General features: G+C 41.5%; 1 protein-coding gene across 4 annotated transcripts in view; it reads left to right on the plus strand.

Moving 5' to 3' along the window:
• The window catches only part of CCDC170 (coiled-coil domain containing 170), a 127177-nt gene that overhangs the window by 76963 nt on the left and 32014 nt on the right, over positions 1 to 18200 (plus strand). For 2 of the 4 annotated variants that reach the window (NM_025059.4, XM_011536147.3), the window contains exons 6-7: positions 2195 to 2512; positions 14910 to 15110. In NM_025059.4, coding sequence (NP_079335.2) covers positions 2195 to 2512; positions 14910 to 15110 — 519 coding nt within the window. The remainder of the gene's footprint in view (positions 1 to 2194; positions 2513 to 14909; positions 15111 to 18200) is intronic. The other 2 variants (XM_047419372.1, XM_011536148.3) reach the window with 1 other exon arrangement.

Here is an 18200-nt window from a genome sequence, read left to right on the forward strand (position 1 = left end):
AAAAGGGCAGGCTTCTCTAACTACATATCTACTCTGTGACTTTTCTTTCAAATTGATGCCTGAGACTTCCTTGATTTTAAAAAAGTCACCATAATGGAAAAAATAAGATGTTATGTTTCCTATAAAAAATAGGAACTAGTGTTTCAGGCTATCCTTTTTCCTGTTTCCAAGCTGTTAATGGAGAGAAATTTCTTTTAAAGCCCAGTTCTAATGCAAAAGAGGTGACTGCATTTTAACTGGCAGCCTGAAATGTTATCAGCTCATTTAGATGTAGAGTCTGTTATTTAAAAATATTGTGTTTCTTTTTAGTGCTTTTTACCTCTAACATACTATTTTTAATAATTTTTTTTTTTTACCAGTTAACTAGGTAGCAATACTACAGCCATGCTAGTTAACACGCCGCTTAATATTTCTTAATGTGAATTCATGTATTTTGGAACTTGATGTTAAAAAATAATTTTAAAAATCAATTTTAAAGATGCTCATGCCTGTAATCCCAGCACTTTGGGAGGCCGAAGCGGGTAGATCACCTGAAGTTGGGAGTTCAAGACCAGCCTGACCAACATGGAGAAACCCTGTCTCTACTAAAAATACAAAATTAGCTGGGCGTGGTGGCACTTGCCTGTAATCCCATCTACTCGGGAGGCTGAGGCAGGAGAATCACTTGAACCCAGTAGGCGGAGGTCATGGTGAGCTGAGATTGTGCCATTGTACTCCAGCCTGGGCAATAAGAGTGAAACTCCGTCCCGGGAGAAAAAAAAATCCTCCTTTGGTGCCTCTGTGGGCCATTCTAGATTATGGTAAATAGAATTAAGTACACAGGTAACCTTCTTTATGTCCTTCATTATTTTTCTGAACCTAATTTCACATGTTATGTTCTTATGTTGTTATTTTGAGACAAGGTCATGCTGTGTCACCAAGTCTGGAGTGCACTGATGCAATTACTGCTCACTGTAGCTTTGAATTCCTAGGCTCAAGCAATCCTCCTATCTCAGCCTCCCAAGTAGCTGGGACCATAGCACATGCTACCATGCATGGCAAATTATTTTATTTTATATAAGATGGGGGTTTACCAAGTTGCCCAGGCTGGTCTCCAACTCCTGGGCTCAAGCAATCTTTTGTCTCGATCTCCCAAAGAGCTGGGATTACAGGAGTGAGCCACTGTGCCCAGCCCATATTATATTCTTTAAGATTATTCTTCTAAGTATGATACTTTCCCTCTACTTTTAATCCTCCCACCTACCAAATGGCTAGTTGTTTCTGTTTCCTTTCTTCAGGTTCTTTCTGCGTTGTCTTTATGAGACAAGGGGATATGCAATGAATATTGGATATTGGAAGTCAATGAATAGTTTTATGCAATGATGTTTTTATGAGAATATTCCTCTATTATTCAAAATAGCATTGAGGGGGCATCTTTATTCAAATAATTGTTAGTGCCTAGCTAGGACTCTGAGAGCTTACTGTTTATTAAAAATAAATTTCCGTATACACCAAGCTTGAGAAAGATAGTTCTATAAACATATTCTACATATGGACTGAATCTACTAATATGTTATCCAATGATTTGTTTTTATTAACTCTTTCCAGTATTCCACACAGAAAAGGCTTATGTGTCAAAGTTTCCTTCTTTTTTCTAACCCAGATTTTATATTTTATATCCCTTCTCTGTGTTTTTTTTTTTTTTTTTTTTGATGGAGTCTTGTTCTGTTGCCCAGGCTGGAGTACAGTGGAGTGATCTCAGTTCACTGCAACCTCCACCTCCCAGGTTCAAGCAATTCTCCTGCCTCAGGCTCCCGAGTAGCTGGGATTACAGGTGTGCGCCACTATGCCCCGCTAAGTTTTGTATTTTTGTTTAGTAGAGGTGGGGTTTCACCATGTTGGCCAGGCTGGTCTTGAACTCCTGACCTTAGTGATCCACCCACCTCAGCCTCCAAAATGCTGGGATTACAGGTGTGAGCCACCACGCCTGGCCCCATTTTCTGTTTTTAAGACACCTAAATTTTCCTGACATACCATTGGGATTTAATAACTTTATGAGGAGACTATAGGGAACTTGGAGTTAAAAATGGAAGGAGTAATTAACCCAACCCCTTGTAGTCATTAGCAGGCAAAGTCAATGAATTTGCCATAGCAAATGCAGGTGTACCCTGTTGACTTCTAATGGTATTGTCTTCACTTTCTGTAATCATTTTAGGACCTGCTCAGTGCTGTAGAAGCAAAAGAAGCTCTTGAAAGGGAAGTTAAGATCTTCCAAGAAAGGCTGCTTGCTGGCCAGCAGGTCTGGGATGCCTCAAAGCAGGAAGTGAGCCTCCTGAAGAAAAGCTCTTCTGAGTTGGAGAAGAGTTTGAAGGCCAGTCAGGATGCAGTCACAACCTCACAAAGCCAGTACTTCTCATTTAGGGAGAAAATCGCAGCCCTCCTTAGGGGCAGATTGAGCATGACTGGGTCCACTGAGGACACCATTTTGGAGAAGATTCGAGAAATGGACAGCCGGGAAGAAAGCAGGGACCGGGTGAGTGGGTCATGGCTGTTTACAGACATCTTAAGAACAGTGAGCTCATTCATTTAGCATGCTCAGTGACTGTATTAGTCTATTCTCACGCTGCTATAAGAAATACCCGAGACTGGGTAATTTATAAAGACAAAGAGGTTTAATGGATTCACAGTTCCACATGGCTGGGGAGGCCTCACAATCATGGCAGAAAGCAAAGGAGGAGCAAAGGCACATCTTACGTGGTGGCAGGCAAGAGAGAGAGTGTGCAGGGGAACTGCCCTTTATAAAACCATCAGATCTCCTGAGAGTTATTCTCTATCACAAGAACAGCATGGGAAAAAGCTACCCCCATAATTCAATTACCTCCCACCAGGTCCCTCCCACGACACGTGGGGATGATGGGAGCTACAATTCAAGATGAGATTTGGGTGGAGACACAGCCAAACCATATCAGTGACTTATCTCAATTAGCTAAAAGCATCACTTAAGGCCAGGCCTGGTGGCCTAGGCCTGTAACCCCAGTCCATTTGGAGGCCAATGTAGTCACTTGAGGCCAGGAATTCAAGACCAGTCTGAGCAATATAGTGAGACCCCTCTCTCTACTGAAAATAAAAATTAAGTCCCAGCTACCTGGCAGGCTGAAGTGGAAGAATTTCTTGAGCCCACGAGTTTGAAGCTGCAGTGAGCTATGATTGCGTCTCTGCTCTCCAGCCTGGGCTACAGAGCAAATCCTGTCTCTAAAAAAAGTATAATTTAAATGTGGTTGTATTAATTTCCATTTTAATGGAAAGGCATGGCAGTCCCACAAGCCACATCTAACTGTGATGCAGGTTCTGGAGTTGGACCTGCCTGGTGCTGAATCCCGTCTCTGCTGTACATTCACTCACTGTCCATGTGAGCTTGGGTAGGTTCTTGAGTTTACGGCCTCGGAGATTTTGTTTTCTTATCTACAGAAAGGGGTTAGCACAGGTTCCATGACCCCTTACCTGAAACTCTTGGGGCCCACGGTGTTTTTGAGTTCAGAATTTTTCAGAGCTTAGAAAGGTAATGCAGAGTGCAGCCTTACACAGCCCTCCACTGTGGTGTCTGGGACAGTTTCCTACCGTCAATCACATTCACAGGTCTGTAGCTAAGCCCGCGAGCAACAGTAAGTGGGATAAATGAAGACCGCAAATAGCCTCTTGTCATTTTGGGTCAGGATTTGCTGCCCAGCTGGGTCAGGTCAGGCCAAGCTTTGTCAGTAAATGAGTTATGAAAAAACCTGGATTTTGGAATTACAGATAAAAGTTCCCAGACCTGTAATGGTATCTGGCCGATCAGGTTATTGTTTCATGTATGTATTGAATGAAAAAAATTGTTATAAAGATCTTAACTCATTGCCTGGCAAGTCACAACAATAAATATTAACTATTGCTGCTGTTGCCTCTCCTTCTTCCTCCTTCTCTCCTTTTTTTCATAATGTGTTGGTGGCCTGAACAGTCTTTCAGGGGTCCTATCTAACAAATGGAGAAAAATGGTTTAATTCACGTATATGATTGAGGCTTGTTTAACTCTGTCATCTTGTTTCTACTATCAAGAACTCTCTTTCTCTATAAAGCTTTACCTAGCAGAGTCCACTTCAGTGCAGGCTTTGTTTAAATTATCATCAAACCTAAATTATAGAAGTCCTAGTTAATGAGACTTTAAAGTAAATGATCTCCAAAGTCCTTGTATAATTCCATTATGAAATATTTCTTCTATTGCTGTCGTGCTTGCTTGAAAGGAGAAAACGCATTTTACCATCTTTTAATGTTACTAAAAAACTCAGAAGAATCACTAACTCAAAGTTCAGGGTTGCATTTGTCAATTTCCTTTAGTGATAGTAAATTCCCTTTAAAAATTCTCCAAAATTCAAGCTTGCAGTGAGCCGAGATCGTGCCACTGCACTCCAGCCTGGGCAACAGAGCGAGACTCTGTCCAAAAAAAAAAAAAAAATTCTCTGAAATTCACGCATACTCTAGGAGCAACCTTAGTGGCCCCTTTAGCCAAGCACATTTTCTTTTCTTTTCTTTCTTTTTTTTTTTTTTTTTTTTTTGAGATGGAGTCTCGCTCTGTCACCCAGGCCAGAGTGCAGTGGTGCAAACTCGGCTCACTGCAATCTCCGCCTCCCAGGTTCAAGCAATACTCCTGCCTCAGCCTACCGAGTAGCTGGGACTACAGGCATGCACCACCACACCCAGCTAATTTTTGTATTTTTAGTAGAGACGGGGTTTCACCATGTTGGCCAGGATGGTCTCGATCTCTTGACCTTGTGATCCACCCGCCTCGGCCTCCCAAAGTGCTGGGATTATAGGCGTGAGCCACCGTGCCCGGCTGCCAAGTGCATTTTCTATCTCTTTGTGGAGATAAAATGTGGAGTGCTCATTGGCTGTCCTCCACTCTAATGTGTAGAGGTCTCTGCGAGTAACTTAGTTTTTCTTGTGACTCAGTTTACATGGAGGTACTTGAGAAAGAAAATGATTTATAGGTTTGGAAATAAGCTTCATTAAGTCATTTCCTTAAATGGTAACAGATATGCAGACGATTTCCAGCTCATGAAAATTTAATTTAAAAAATTTTCAACTTGACGATGGTGTGAAAGTGATACACATTCAGTGGAAACCACACTTTGAGTGTGCATGCAGCCATCCTGTTCTTCACTTTCAGTATTCAACAAATTACATGAGACTTTCAATACTTTATTATAAAATAGGCTTTGTGTTAGATGATTTTGCCCAAATATAGGCCAATGTAAGTGTTCTGAGCACTTTTAAGGTAGGGTAGGCGAAGCCATGATATTCGGTAGGTTAGGTATATTAAATGCATTTCTGACTTAAGGAACTTTCAACTAACACGTCTTTGTTGGGACACAACCTCACCATTCGTCGAGGAGCATCTGTACTTCAATAGCTAATTTTTTTTTTTTTTGCCATTTCATTTTATTGCTTTCCACTTCTATATTTTCAAGTAGTTTCTTAAAACTACTTTAATCCCAAACAAGGCGCATAATTATCAGCATGATGTATATGTTTATTTTCTAAAGCCAAATGATGTAAATTGGTTAAGCTGGGTATGCTTTCTCCCACTCCCCATAAAAATTAGAATGATTCAGAGTCTTTTTAGTGCCTTTGTCTGCCATTCCTACCCTGTAATTTTTTTCAATAGCTGCCCTCCCTATTTAAAAGCCTGAAATCAAGCATATAGCTGGTGTCTTGTGTGACTCATCTTCACGTAAAATCAGGAGAAAATGGATTTCATATATTGTCTTAGAAATGTTTCTAAAGAATGGGAGCTTTACAAATTGATGAATCTGTTTGTTGAGGAGGCTGCATGTCCCTGCCAGCTGCCATGGCTACGCACACAGTCAGTGGCTGAGTAATTCTGATGTGAAGGCTCCACGGCGGGTTCAGGCTCAGCTTGGCAGATTCTCCGCTTCAGGCCGGCTCCTGCTTCCCGAACGTTGCTTGTCTTGTTTACCCCTGTGCTATCCATTTTTCCCCTCCTGTGTTTGCAATTCTCAGTAGAATTCAGGACACCACCCACACTTTTACAGCACGTCATTTCTACTTGTTCCTTGCATATCTGCTTCTGGCAAGATCTAATCTTCTTTTTAGAAGCTTTACTATATCTTAGAGCAAGGTTTTCCATCCTCAGAACTATTGACATTTTGGACTGGATAATTTTTTGCTCTGGGGGCCAGTCCTGTGCATTGCAGGATTTTGAGCGGCGTCCTTGGCCTCTACCCGCTAGTAGCACTCCCCTTCCCAGTTTGTGACAACCACAGATGTCTTTAGAGACTGCCTAATGTCCGCCGGGGGTCAAAATTGCCCCCAGTTGAAAACCACTGTCTTAGAGGAATGTTCTACTGCCAGGTTCCCACGAATTCTAAATGAGTATTTAGATGTTACTTAGCCTTGGAATTTCAGGACACCATAGCAGTTGTTTATGAAATAATGACTTCTTGCACAATGACAGAAAGTTACGACATTTTCAGATTTTACTTTAGAATTTTGAGGCAATTTTGTTTTCTTCTTCACCTCTATCTGGACATTTTTCCTGTTCTGCTTTAGGTACACCTAAGGCTTTATTTCCTTCCTTGAGGTGTTTGCTGGTCCAGGGGCTCTGTGGGAGCTGTGGGGACCCCCCCCGATGCTATAAAGCAAGGGTCTCCAACCCTCTGGCTGCGCACCCGCACCAGTGCCTGGCCTAGTAGGAAATGGGCTGCACAGGAGGAGGTGAGCGGTGGGCGAGCGAGCATTGCTTCCTGAGTTCACCTCCTGTCAGATCAGCAGCGGCATTAGATTCTCATAGGAACGTGAACGCTATTGCGAACTGTGCATGCGAGGGATCTAGGTTGCGTGCATCTTATGAGAATCTAATCCCTGATGATCTGAGGTGAAACAGTTTCATTCTGACACAAAAATTGTCATCCACGAAACCAGTCTCTGGTGACAAAAAGGCTGGTGATCTCTGCTGTGAAGGACTGGAGATGTGCTTCACAGCCCCCTCCTCCCCATTCTGATCTCAGAGCCCGATTATCATTCTCCTGCTCTGTTCTTAACCCTGCCACCTACTAAAGTGAGCATCTTCCCAGAAGCACCAGCACACTTCCATTTGGGACGTTTCATTATCCAAAATTATGTTGTGCGGTTGCTCCGGGCTACAGAGGCATCTGAGAGAGCGAACAGATGGAAGTTTCAGCTTTTCCAGCCTCTCCAGTTATATGAGTTTCCTGGGGCTGCTACGACAAAGTACCGCAACTGGGCGGCTTAAATAACAGAAAGTTCTTGCCTCACAGTTCTGGAGATGAGAAGTCTGGCATCAAGGTGTCAGTAGGGTTGGTTCCTTCTGAGGGCTGTGAGGGAGAGTCTGTCCCATGCCTCACTCCTAGCTTCTGCTGGCCTCAGGCATTGCATTCTTTGTTGTAGGGATAGTGTTCTTCCTGTGTGTTCACATTGCCTTCCTCTATGCATGTCGGTCTTCGTGTCCAAATTTCCCCTCTTATAAGGACCTCAGTCATCTGGGATTAGGGTCCACCTTAGGGACCTCGTTTTCACTTCATCACCACTCTAAAGACCCGATCTCCAAAGAAAGGCACATTCTGAGGTACTGGGGGGCTTCAACATATCTTTTTTGAGGGGGACCTAATTTAACTCAAAACAAAAGTTGAGATGAACAGAGGAGGTGGGATAGAGTTAGCCAGTCAACAGTGCTGGTCACACAAGCCGACAGAAGGGAAGGAGGATTTGGTCGACACTTTCTAGTACCTGATAACTTACATATTCCCCAAGTGCAAATTATAGCTTGAGTAATTGGAAAAGAGTTTATGTCTAAAAGGAACTGGACTTTAAGTGACCCAAATGGCTCTTTCTTCAGTGTAGAACTTTTTGGCTTCTATTTGGTTTAATTTTAGGACAAAATTGTCTCTCTGGTGAAATCAATGCATAGTTGTCCCTGGGGAGTGAATTAAATCTTTTAGGGCATTATGACTTTACTTCTAAAAACCATGCAGCTTATTCTTTAACTATATTGTGCTTTTTGTTTCAAAAAAAAAGCACAAACAAAAAAATATCTTTTTTGTTTAAAGGTATGTATTCTTCACCCCTCACCCTCCACTGCCCACCTCTAGTGTTGAAATATCTGGTGCATTTTGTCCCATAGAATATCAGGTATATGTTAAGAAATGATCCTAAGAAAAAGAAAAGAAAAGAAAGAAAGGCTTATTTATTGTTTAGACTTTTTGGTGTGAAAAACAGCACAAGTTTACGGTTTTGGTGGAGCACATATGTTCACTCAGGCACTGGCATTTGATGTTCCCAAGAATAAGTCAGAATGGAAAGTTAATTTATTTGAATTAATTTATCTAAATTTAGTTAGAAAAAAACTTAGTGGTGTCATGTGCACTGACACCTAAATAAGCTTCTGAAGCTACGTTCTGTGATCTGATAGAGTGCAGGAGGGCTCTCAGCTGTTTTCTTCTCTCTGGACACAAGAATCTTGGCATGGCAGGTATCCCCTGCAAATTTCAGCGATCTACGTATTAGTGGTTTTAAAGTCTCACTTCGCTGAGTCTCAAGGCTCTGTAGAGCACCCTCAGGTCCAGATGGGGTGAAGATGCAAGAGAGACCTTCTTGCCTTTGATTCAAACACATTTGTCCCTTATTTGTTCTTCCTAGAAAGACTTCTAGTTGAGAGAAAGACTATGCTGAAAATAGTTTGAGAAACATGACATAGGACAATTCCTGGAGGGTTCTTTAGCTCCTCATGGCGACAGCATAGGATTGACAGAACCAGTACACTGGAGCAGTAACCCTGATGACGGAAATGGACACGATGTGTTGAACTTCAATATGGTGTGAAATACTGTAAATTATCTAAATCAGCTCATTGAGTCTTCATAGCAAAGTCTACGAATTTCAGAGAGATTAGTTACTTGCTTCAGTTAACCTGCTAGTAAGTGGTACAGGGGAAATTGAAACCAGGGCTATCTGACTCCAAAGCCTCCGTCCTGCACTCTGGTCTACGTCAGATGCTTACATCTTCCTTTAGGGTCAGTATCACTCCCTTAGTCTAACTTACTGCAGTTACTCTGGGCATCAGCTTCAGAATGGAGACCATACTGATTGATGTCTACAGAAGGCTTGCTTTTTTCCAGTAAATTCGGTGGTGTGCTGACTATGGCTAACTGATCACACAGTTCTCCCTCTCTCCGCTTGAGGTTTATTGAATCAATTTTCTCTTTGGTTTCATTCTCTCCGCTATGTCATTTGTGGTATAGGAGACGTTGAAGGGTCTTCAGGTAGAAATACTCACTTCCTGTTTGCAGTCCAACGTGAAACCACATCTCCTGATGTGCTATACTCCTAATAATGCAAATCAGTCCCTTGGGAGGCAGCATCTTGTGGACATTTTTCTGTAGATTACATTATTTGTTATACCAAGATAAACACTGTTTCTCTTGCGTTAAGATCAGATTTATCTGCTATATTAGTAAGTTATACTTACTAATATAGCTATGAATGTATCAGTAGATTTTTTATTATTGGTAAGCAGGAAAGGTAGGAAATAAGAAATGAGGTTTCTCAGAGCTTCATGTTCTGGGATGACACTAAAAATTTCCTTGGTAAATGTAATTCCTTGGATGTGGCTCTGAATAGCTTACCATCAAATATCTAATTTCAAGCACACACACAGAAGTGTTAAATTAATTGAATGTCTGGAAGCTTGAGAGCCATGGAAGCACAGGATTGAAGAGTTTAGAGCTCAGGTGGTCTAACCTTCCTCATGTAGCACTTCAATCTGCATTGCAACATTCTTAATTGGTATAAGCATACCTCAGAGACCACTGCGACAAAGCAAGTGTCACAATAAAGTGAGTCACACAATTTTTTTTGGTTTCTCAGTGCATATAAAAGTTATGTTTATACTAGACTATGTAGTCTATTAAGTGTGCAATAACCCTATATCTAAAAAACAATATAGATACTTTAATTAAAAATACTTTATTGCTAAGAAGTGCTAACAATCATCTTAGCCTTCAGCAAGTCATAATCTTTTTGCTGGTGGAGGGTTTTGCTGTAATGTTGATGGTTACTGCTGATCGGAGTGATGGTTCCTGAAGGTTGGGTGGCTGTGGCAATTTCTTAAAATAAGACAACAACGTAGTTGAAAACAACAATTGACTCTTTTTTTTCTCAAAAGATTTCTCTGTAGCATGTGAGCTATTTGATAGCGCTTTACCAACAGCAGAACTTCTTTCTAAATTGAGGTCAATCCTCTCAAACCTTGCTGCTTTTTTGTCAGCTAAATTTATGTTATATTCTAAATGTTTATTGTCATTTCAACAATGTTCAAGCATCTTCACTAGGAGTAAATTTCATCTCAATAATTTTCTTTGCTCATCCATGAGAAGCAACTCTTCATCCATTCAAGTTTGATCATGAGGTTACAGCAATTCAGTCACATCTTTAGGCTCCATTTCTAATTCTAGTTCTCTTGCTATTTCCACCACATCTGCAGTTACTTCCTCCACTGAAGTCCTGAACCCCTCAGAATCATCTCATAGATGACACCTATGATGTTATTTTGACCTCCTCTTATGATTTATGAATGTCCTTAATGGTATCAAGAGTAGTGAATCCTTTCCAGAAGGTTTTCAATTTACTTTGCCCAGATCCATCAGAGGAATCACTCTCTATGGCAGCTGTAGCCTTATGAAGTATATTTCTTACATAATAAGACTTTAAAGTCAGAATTATTCCTTGATCCATGGGCTGCAGAATGAATGCTGTGTTAATAGCTGTGAAGACAACATTCATCTCTTTGTACATCTCCATCAGAGTTCGTGGGTGACCAGGTATGTTGTCAATGAGCAGTAATATTTTGAAAGGAATCTTTTACTGAGCCATAGGTCTCAACTGTAGGCTTGAAATATTCAGTAAAACTTGATGTGAACAGATGTGCTGTCATCCAGCTTTGCTGTTCCATTTCTAGAGCACAGTCAGAATAGATTTAGCATATTTCTTAAGGGGCCTAGGGTCTTCAGAATGGTAAATGAGCACTGGCCTCAACTTCAAGTCACCAGCTGCATTAACCTCTAACAAGAGAGTCAGCCTGTTCTCTGAAGCTTTGAAGGCAGGCATTGACTTCTCCTCTTTAGCTATGAAAGTCCTAAATGGCAACCTCTTCCCATAGAAGGCTGATTTGCCTACATTGAAAGTCTGTTGTTTGGTGTCGCCACCTTCATCAATGATCTTAGCTAGATCTTGTGGATAACTTACCCCAGCTTCTACATCAGCACTTACTGCTTTATCTTGTACTTTTATGTTATGGAGATGGCTTCTTTCCTTAAATCTCATGAATCAATCTCTACTAGTTTCAAACTTTTCTTCTGCAGCTTCTTCACCTCTCTTAGGCTTCATAGATTTAAGGAGAGTTAGGGCCTTGCTTTGGATTAGGCTTTGGCTTAAGGGAATGTTATGGCTGGTTTGATGTCTATTCAGACCACTCAAACTTTCTCCATATCAGCAATAAGGCTGTTTTTTTTCTTATCATTTGTGTGTGTCTTAGTCCTTTTGTGTTGCCATAAAAGAATACCTGAGGCTGAGTAATTGATAAAGAAAAGAGGTTTATTTGGCTCATGGTTCTGCAGGCTATACAAGAAGCACAGTGCCATCTACTTCTGGCAATGAACCTCAAGAAACTTTCACTCATGGCAGAAGATGAAGGGGAGCAGGCATCACATGGCCAGAGAGAAAGAAAGGGAGAGAGAGGAGGAGGTGCCAGGCTCTTTTCAACAACCAGAGCTCATGGGAACTAAGAGTGAGCAGTCACTCAATTCTGCAAGAATGACACCAAGTCATTCATGAAGGATCTGCTTCCATGAACCAAACATCTCCCACTAGGCCCACCTCCAACTGTGAGGATCAAATTTTAACATGCGATTTAGAGAGGACAAATATCCACACTGTATCAGTGTGTTTACTGGAGTAGCACTTTTTTTTTTTTTTTTTTTTTTTTGAGACGGAGTCTTGCTCTGTCACCCAGGCTGGAGTGCAATGGCGCAATCTCAGCTCACTGCAACCTCTGCCTCCCGGGTTAAAGTGATTCTCCTGTCTCAGCCTCCTGAGTAGCTGGGACTACAGGCGCCTGCCACCACGCCTGGCTAATTTTTGTATTTTTAGTAGAGATGGGGTTTCACCATACTGGTCAGCCTAGTCTTGAACTCCTGACCTCAGGTGATCCACCCACCTTGGCCTCCCAAAGTGCTGGGATTACAGGCGTGAGCCACCGTGCCTGGCCTGGAGTAGCACTTTTAATTTCCTTCAAGAACGCTTCCTTTCTATTCCCAGCTTGGCTAATTGGAGTAAGAGGCCCAATTTTTGGCCGATCTCAGATTTCAACATGCCTTTCTTACTAAGCTTAGTCATTTCCATCTTTTGAGTTAAAATGAGAGAAGTGCGACTCTTCGCTTTTTTTTATTTGAGATGGAAGTCTCATTCTGTCACCTAGGCTGGAGTGCAGTGGCGTGATGTTGGCTCACTACAACCTCTGCCTCCCAGGTTCAGGTGATTCTCCTGCCTCAGCCTTCCAAGTAGCTGGGACTACAGGCATGAGCCATCACGTCCAGCTAATTTTTGTATTTTCAGTAGAGATGGGGTTTCGCCATGTTGGCCAGGCTGGTCTTGAACTCCTGACTTCAGGTGATCCACCCAGTTTGGCCTCCCAAAGTGCTGGGATTACAGGCGTGAGCCACTATGCCCAGCCTGACTCTTCCTTTCATTTGAAAACTTAGAGGCCATTGTAAGGTTATTAACTGGCTTAATGTGAATATTGTTGTGTCTCAGGAAATAGGGAGGCCCAAGGAGAGGAAGTGGGGTCAGCCAGTTAGTGGAAAAGTCAGAACGTACACATGTATCATTTAAGTTCACTGACTTATTATGGGAGTGGTTTGTGGCACCCCAAACACTGCAATAGTAACATCAAAGATCTCCGATCACAGATCACCATAACAGATATCATAGTAATGAAAATGTTTGAAATATTGCTAGTATTGCCGAAATGTGACACAGGGACACAAAGTGAGCGTGTGCTGTCAGAAAAATGACGCTGATAGACTTGCTCAATGCAGGGTTACCACAAACCTTCAATTTGTAAAAAACTAAAATATCTGCGAAGAGCAATAAAGTAAGTGCAATAAAGTGAGATGTGCCTGTAGTTAGCCAATTTCCGGCCATCTTCGGTGACTGGGAATCCACTCCCTACTGGACAGTGTCTTTACACAGCTGTAATCATTGTAAAGTTTTCCCTTTCTTCTTTATTTTGATTATTTATTATTTTTAATTTTTTTTCTCAGACCTCACAGGGAAGAGTTTTTCCTTTCTTAGAAAGGAATGCTTAAGTGAATGATGACACATTCTCATGATGAATTCTTAATGCAGCCATTAAAATGTTAATTAAGAATTTCAAACGGCATGAGAATAATTAGGTAAAAACAAAGACATGAAATTGCATGTATAATATTTCAACTATATTTTAACAATACACAAAAACAAATTATTTAAAAATATTAATGGCTTTTGCCTCTGGGTGGTGGGATCACAGGGGATTGTTTTTTGCCTGTTTATACTTTTTGTGGTTAAAAGAAATTTCATGGGGATATCTTACTTTATAATTATAGGAACTGGGGAAAACATTTTCCTTTCATAAATATGGAATTTCTTCTCTGATTTATACCTGTTGGTTCTCAATATAGGCTCCGAGGGTAACTCAGAACAAATCCTTTTGTTCTCCCATATAATAGCCTTTCAAAAAGTTTAAAGGCAGATTACGTGTTTAAGCACGGCTGTTTATAGATGGGCAAACAGAAATTGTTTTCTTTTTAAAAATTTAGACAGTAAAAATCTGAAACAGTCAGGATGTTTCCATTTCTGTGAGAATGGTACTGTACTGTTATGTAAATACTATGTTTTCCCTCTTCTCTTCCAAAATAAACCATCGAAAGAAAACAAATTTATCACCCTAGGCTTGGTGGTTTTATTGAATTCAACATTTTATGAAACTGGATTTAGTAAAATCAGTTTGAGTTTTCTGAGAGTGTCCCTGAGGTCCTTGGTAAACTTGCACTCTTGGTTTAAGGGAATGATCAGGACAAAAAGAGGAACTCCTGGGAAGGATGGGAGCATTGGGCAAATCAGGTGGGTTGTGGAGAGCCTGGAGGGACTTTAACATGGGACAGTACTCAGATTCCCCTGCTCTCTTGTACATTGACACTGACCTTATTTAGAGTCACCATATTAAAGAGATGTTGACCTCTCCAATGCAAAAATGGTATTACTCTATAACTATGTAGTGTAGAGTCAGCATCCCTGGAGTTTAGGGCATAGGTAACCAATCTTCAACAGAAAGCTGAAAAAAGTTTGAAAAAGCATATATCTGTACATGAATTCCCTGTAATACCTCAATGTTACCTACCAAGATTATCTCACTGTCTAATCTTAAGTCAACTCAAAATGGTGAAAGAATTTTTCTGGGGAATGACTCTTTGTAGATTTTTACAGTACTTTTTGTCTTAATTCTTTTTCCTACTAAACTTTGAAACTCTTAGCAATAGTTTTGGGGTAAGTAAATGTTATCCATAAATTTTTATTGATTAACCTGATAAAAGAATTATATAAAAATTAAAAATACCAATCGAAAAATTTAATTCAATAATGAAAGTAGATTATTTCAAACAGAGGCAAATACAGCTATCAATTACATATTTTAAATGGGATTTTTACAAATAATCTGGAAGTTGGTATCATAAACAGTTATGCTGCTTAGGCAGAGCAGTAGATGTGAACACTTCCTTGCATCTGAAACAAGGCTTATTCTTGATCTGTTTCTTTGTTTCCAGATGGTCTCCCAGCTTGAAGCCCAAATATCTGAGCTTGTTGAACAGTTGGGAAAGGAGTCTGGGTTTCACCAGAAAGCTCTCCAGAGGGCCCAGAAAGCAGAGAATATGTTGGAGACTCTTCAGGGTCAGCTGACACACCTGGAGGCAGAGCTGGTTTCTGGAGGTGTTTTGCGAGACAACTTGAATTTTGAGAAACAAAAAGTAATGACCCGAGGGCATGTCCATGAGTGGAAGCATCTGTTGTAGTATAAAATTTTACCTGAAAATATCCTGAATTTTACAGTATTTAGTTTGGTTAAGTCCTGGACTTAATTGGTTAAGTCAATTTCAAGGAACAATGGGTTTGGAGCTTCCTTGATTCAAATTAATTTAATTAAACTCAACGAGTATTTATTGAATGCCTACCATATATGAGGTCCTAAAGGTTTGGCAAGCTAAAATATGAATAATACACAGTTCCTGATCTTAAAGGCTCATAATTCAATAGGGGAGACAGATACTCAGATAATTTGCTGTACTATAAGTTTACACATGTTATATGTATTGAATTAATAAAGTGCTGTAGGAACTTCCAGATAAAGGGAAGATTTTATAGGAGAGGAGATAATTAAGTTCATTTTTGAAAGATAAGTCAGATTATAGTGGAGACAGGAGACAGATACTGTAGGGGAAACAGTTTGAAGAAAGGCATGAAATCTGGCAAGTGCATAGTATATTCAGAGGACGCAAAATGGTGAATCCTCCATGGCTGGAACATGTTATTCTCGGTGGATCTGTGGCAAGAGAAAAGACTGGAATGGCTTAGACTATGAAGATGGAGTGTTCTTTACTCTGTAGAATATGAAGTGTGGTAAGTGTGAGCATTGCAGTATTTTATTTTATTTTATGTTTATGTTTATTATTTCTATTTTTTTGAGACAGAGTCTCGCTCTGTTGCCCAGGCTGGAGTGCAGTGGCGTGATCTCGACTCACTGCAACCTCTGCCTCCTGGGTTCACACCATTCTCCTGCCTCAGCCTCCCAAGTAGCTGAGATTACAGGCGCCCGCCACCACGCCCGGCTAATTTTTTGTATTTTTAGTAGAGACGGGGTATCACTGTGTTAGCTGGGGTGGTCTCGATCTCCTGACCTCATGATCTGCCCGCCTCGGCCTCCCAAAGTGCTGGGATTACAGGTGTGAGCCACCGTGCCAGGCCACATTGCAGTATTTTAGAAAGATAGCGTGATGTCCCCGTGGAGCTGAGATTGTGGCATGGAGGGTCTCGGAAACAATGGCACTGATAACCCAGTGGGAGAGGAGAGTTAGACGGGAAGAGAAGGAGCCCGCACTGAGGATTCGAATGTGGGGAGACTGTCAGTGATCTTTGAGAGGCAGTTTTGGTGGAGCGGTGGAGAGCAAAAGCCAGTTTGTTTGTGCTGAGGGGATCCTTGAGAGGAAGGGGAGCGACCTTCTAGTAGACCAGTGTGAAGTCTGGTGACCAAAGAGAAGAGAGGCATGAGGCAGTGGCTGTGAAAAACAAGATCAAAGAAAGGTTTTGCTGGACAGGATGGCGGGGAAAGTATGGACTGAAAGAGTCTGCAGGAGGGAGTGTGGGAAGGGAAAGGGAGGCACACAGGCCCAAGAGCCTCGATGCCAAATTTGGCATGAAAAATGCCCTAAAGTTGAAACATGTACACTCAAGTAACATATTCCTTTTCATTCTTCTGTACTTAAAACATTGAGGAATCATCATGCCTGCATTGAGGTTGGATATGCAAAGATGTGCCAAAGGTGTCTGTGGAAAATCAAGTCTAGCAGATGAGACAGGGAGATCGGGGCGTAATAGTACAATAGTGCAATTAGTGCGCTTAGTGCAATAGTACAATGGTGCAATAGTGCAATTAGTGCAAATAGTACAATTAGTGCCATGATGGAGACAGGTATAAAATTTAACAGAAACCTGGAAAAAGGAGCAATGACTTTTTTTCTGTGTGGTAAGTGAGCCATCTTCACAGAAGAGGGGAGCATTAAAGAATGAGTAGGAATTTGTCAGGCAGAAGAGGTGGGAAGGAATTTGAGGCAGAAAGAATAGCAGGAACAAAGAAGAAATGGAGGTGTGAAAAGAAGGCTCAGGAAATGAATGAGGTGCAGGGAGCCTGGGACATGATACTTGGCGAAACCAAAGGTGTGAGATGGCACTGGAGGCAGCTATAGGAATGATCGAGATGGGTCAGTCTAATGACTCAGGCTTCACTGCGTAGGTAATGGGAAGCCAGAGAAGGTTTTTGAGTAAAAGAAAGATTTCCCTCAAGTCAGACTCGCTTAGAGGGTAGCAGGGGTGTCCAACCTTTTGGCTTCCCTGGGCCACATTGGAAGAAGAAGAATTGTCTTGGGCCACACGTAAAATACACTAACAGTAGTGATAGCTGATAAGCTAAAACAAACAAACAACAACAAAAACACACACACACACAAAACAAACAAAAAACAACCATGCATAATTTTTGAGGTATCTGCCACCACAGATAAGCAAAAAGTCCTCGCCTTCCAAGGGTTGGACACAGCTGAGGGAAGGTAGGGAGCCCAGTTGGTGGCTCCCTGACTGGTCCAGTTAGATAGTCCAGTTCAGACTAGCCCAGTTCAGAAGATAATAAAGATCTGAACCAAGTAGTGGTTTTGTGAATGGAAATAGGGGATAGATTTGAGAAGTCTGGGAGAGTGAAGGGAGCTTTTTCTGTTAGATGTCTGTAAAGGTGTGATGGTGGAAAATTTGATTTTGTAAAGAAATATTGGCTGGGTTTGGTGGCTCACACCTATAATCCCAGCACTTTGGGATGTTGAGGCAGGTGGATCGCTTGAGCTCTGGAGTTCAAGACCAGCCTGGGCAACATGGTGAAACCCCATCTCTACAAAAAACACAAAATTTAGCTGGGCATGGTGGCACACACTTGTGATCCCAGCTACCTGGGAGGCTGAGATGGGAGGATAGCTTGAGCCTGGGAGGTGGAGGTTGCAGTGAGCTGAGATCATACCACTTCAGCCTAGGTGACAGAGTGAGACCCCGTCTCAAAACAAACAAACAAACAAACAAAAAACCAAAAACAGGCCAGATGTGGTGGCTCATGCCTATAATCTCAGCACTTTAGGAGGCTGAGGTGGGTGGATCACTTGAGGTCAGAAGTTCAAGAACAGCCTGGCCAACATGGTGAAACTCCATCTCTACTAAAAATACAAAAAATTAGCCAGGTGTGGTGGTGTGTGCCTGTAATCCCAGCTACCCAGGAAGCTGAGGCAGGAGAATCGCTTGAATTT

Source organism: Homo sapiens, chromosome 6, assembly GCF_000001405.40.
Source record: "Homo sapiens chromosome 6, GRCh38.p14 Primary Assembly".
In the NCBI taxonomy this organism is placed as follows: Eukaryota; Metazoa; Chordata; class Mammalia; order Primates; family Hominidae; genus Homo; species Homo sapiens.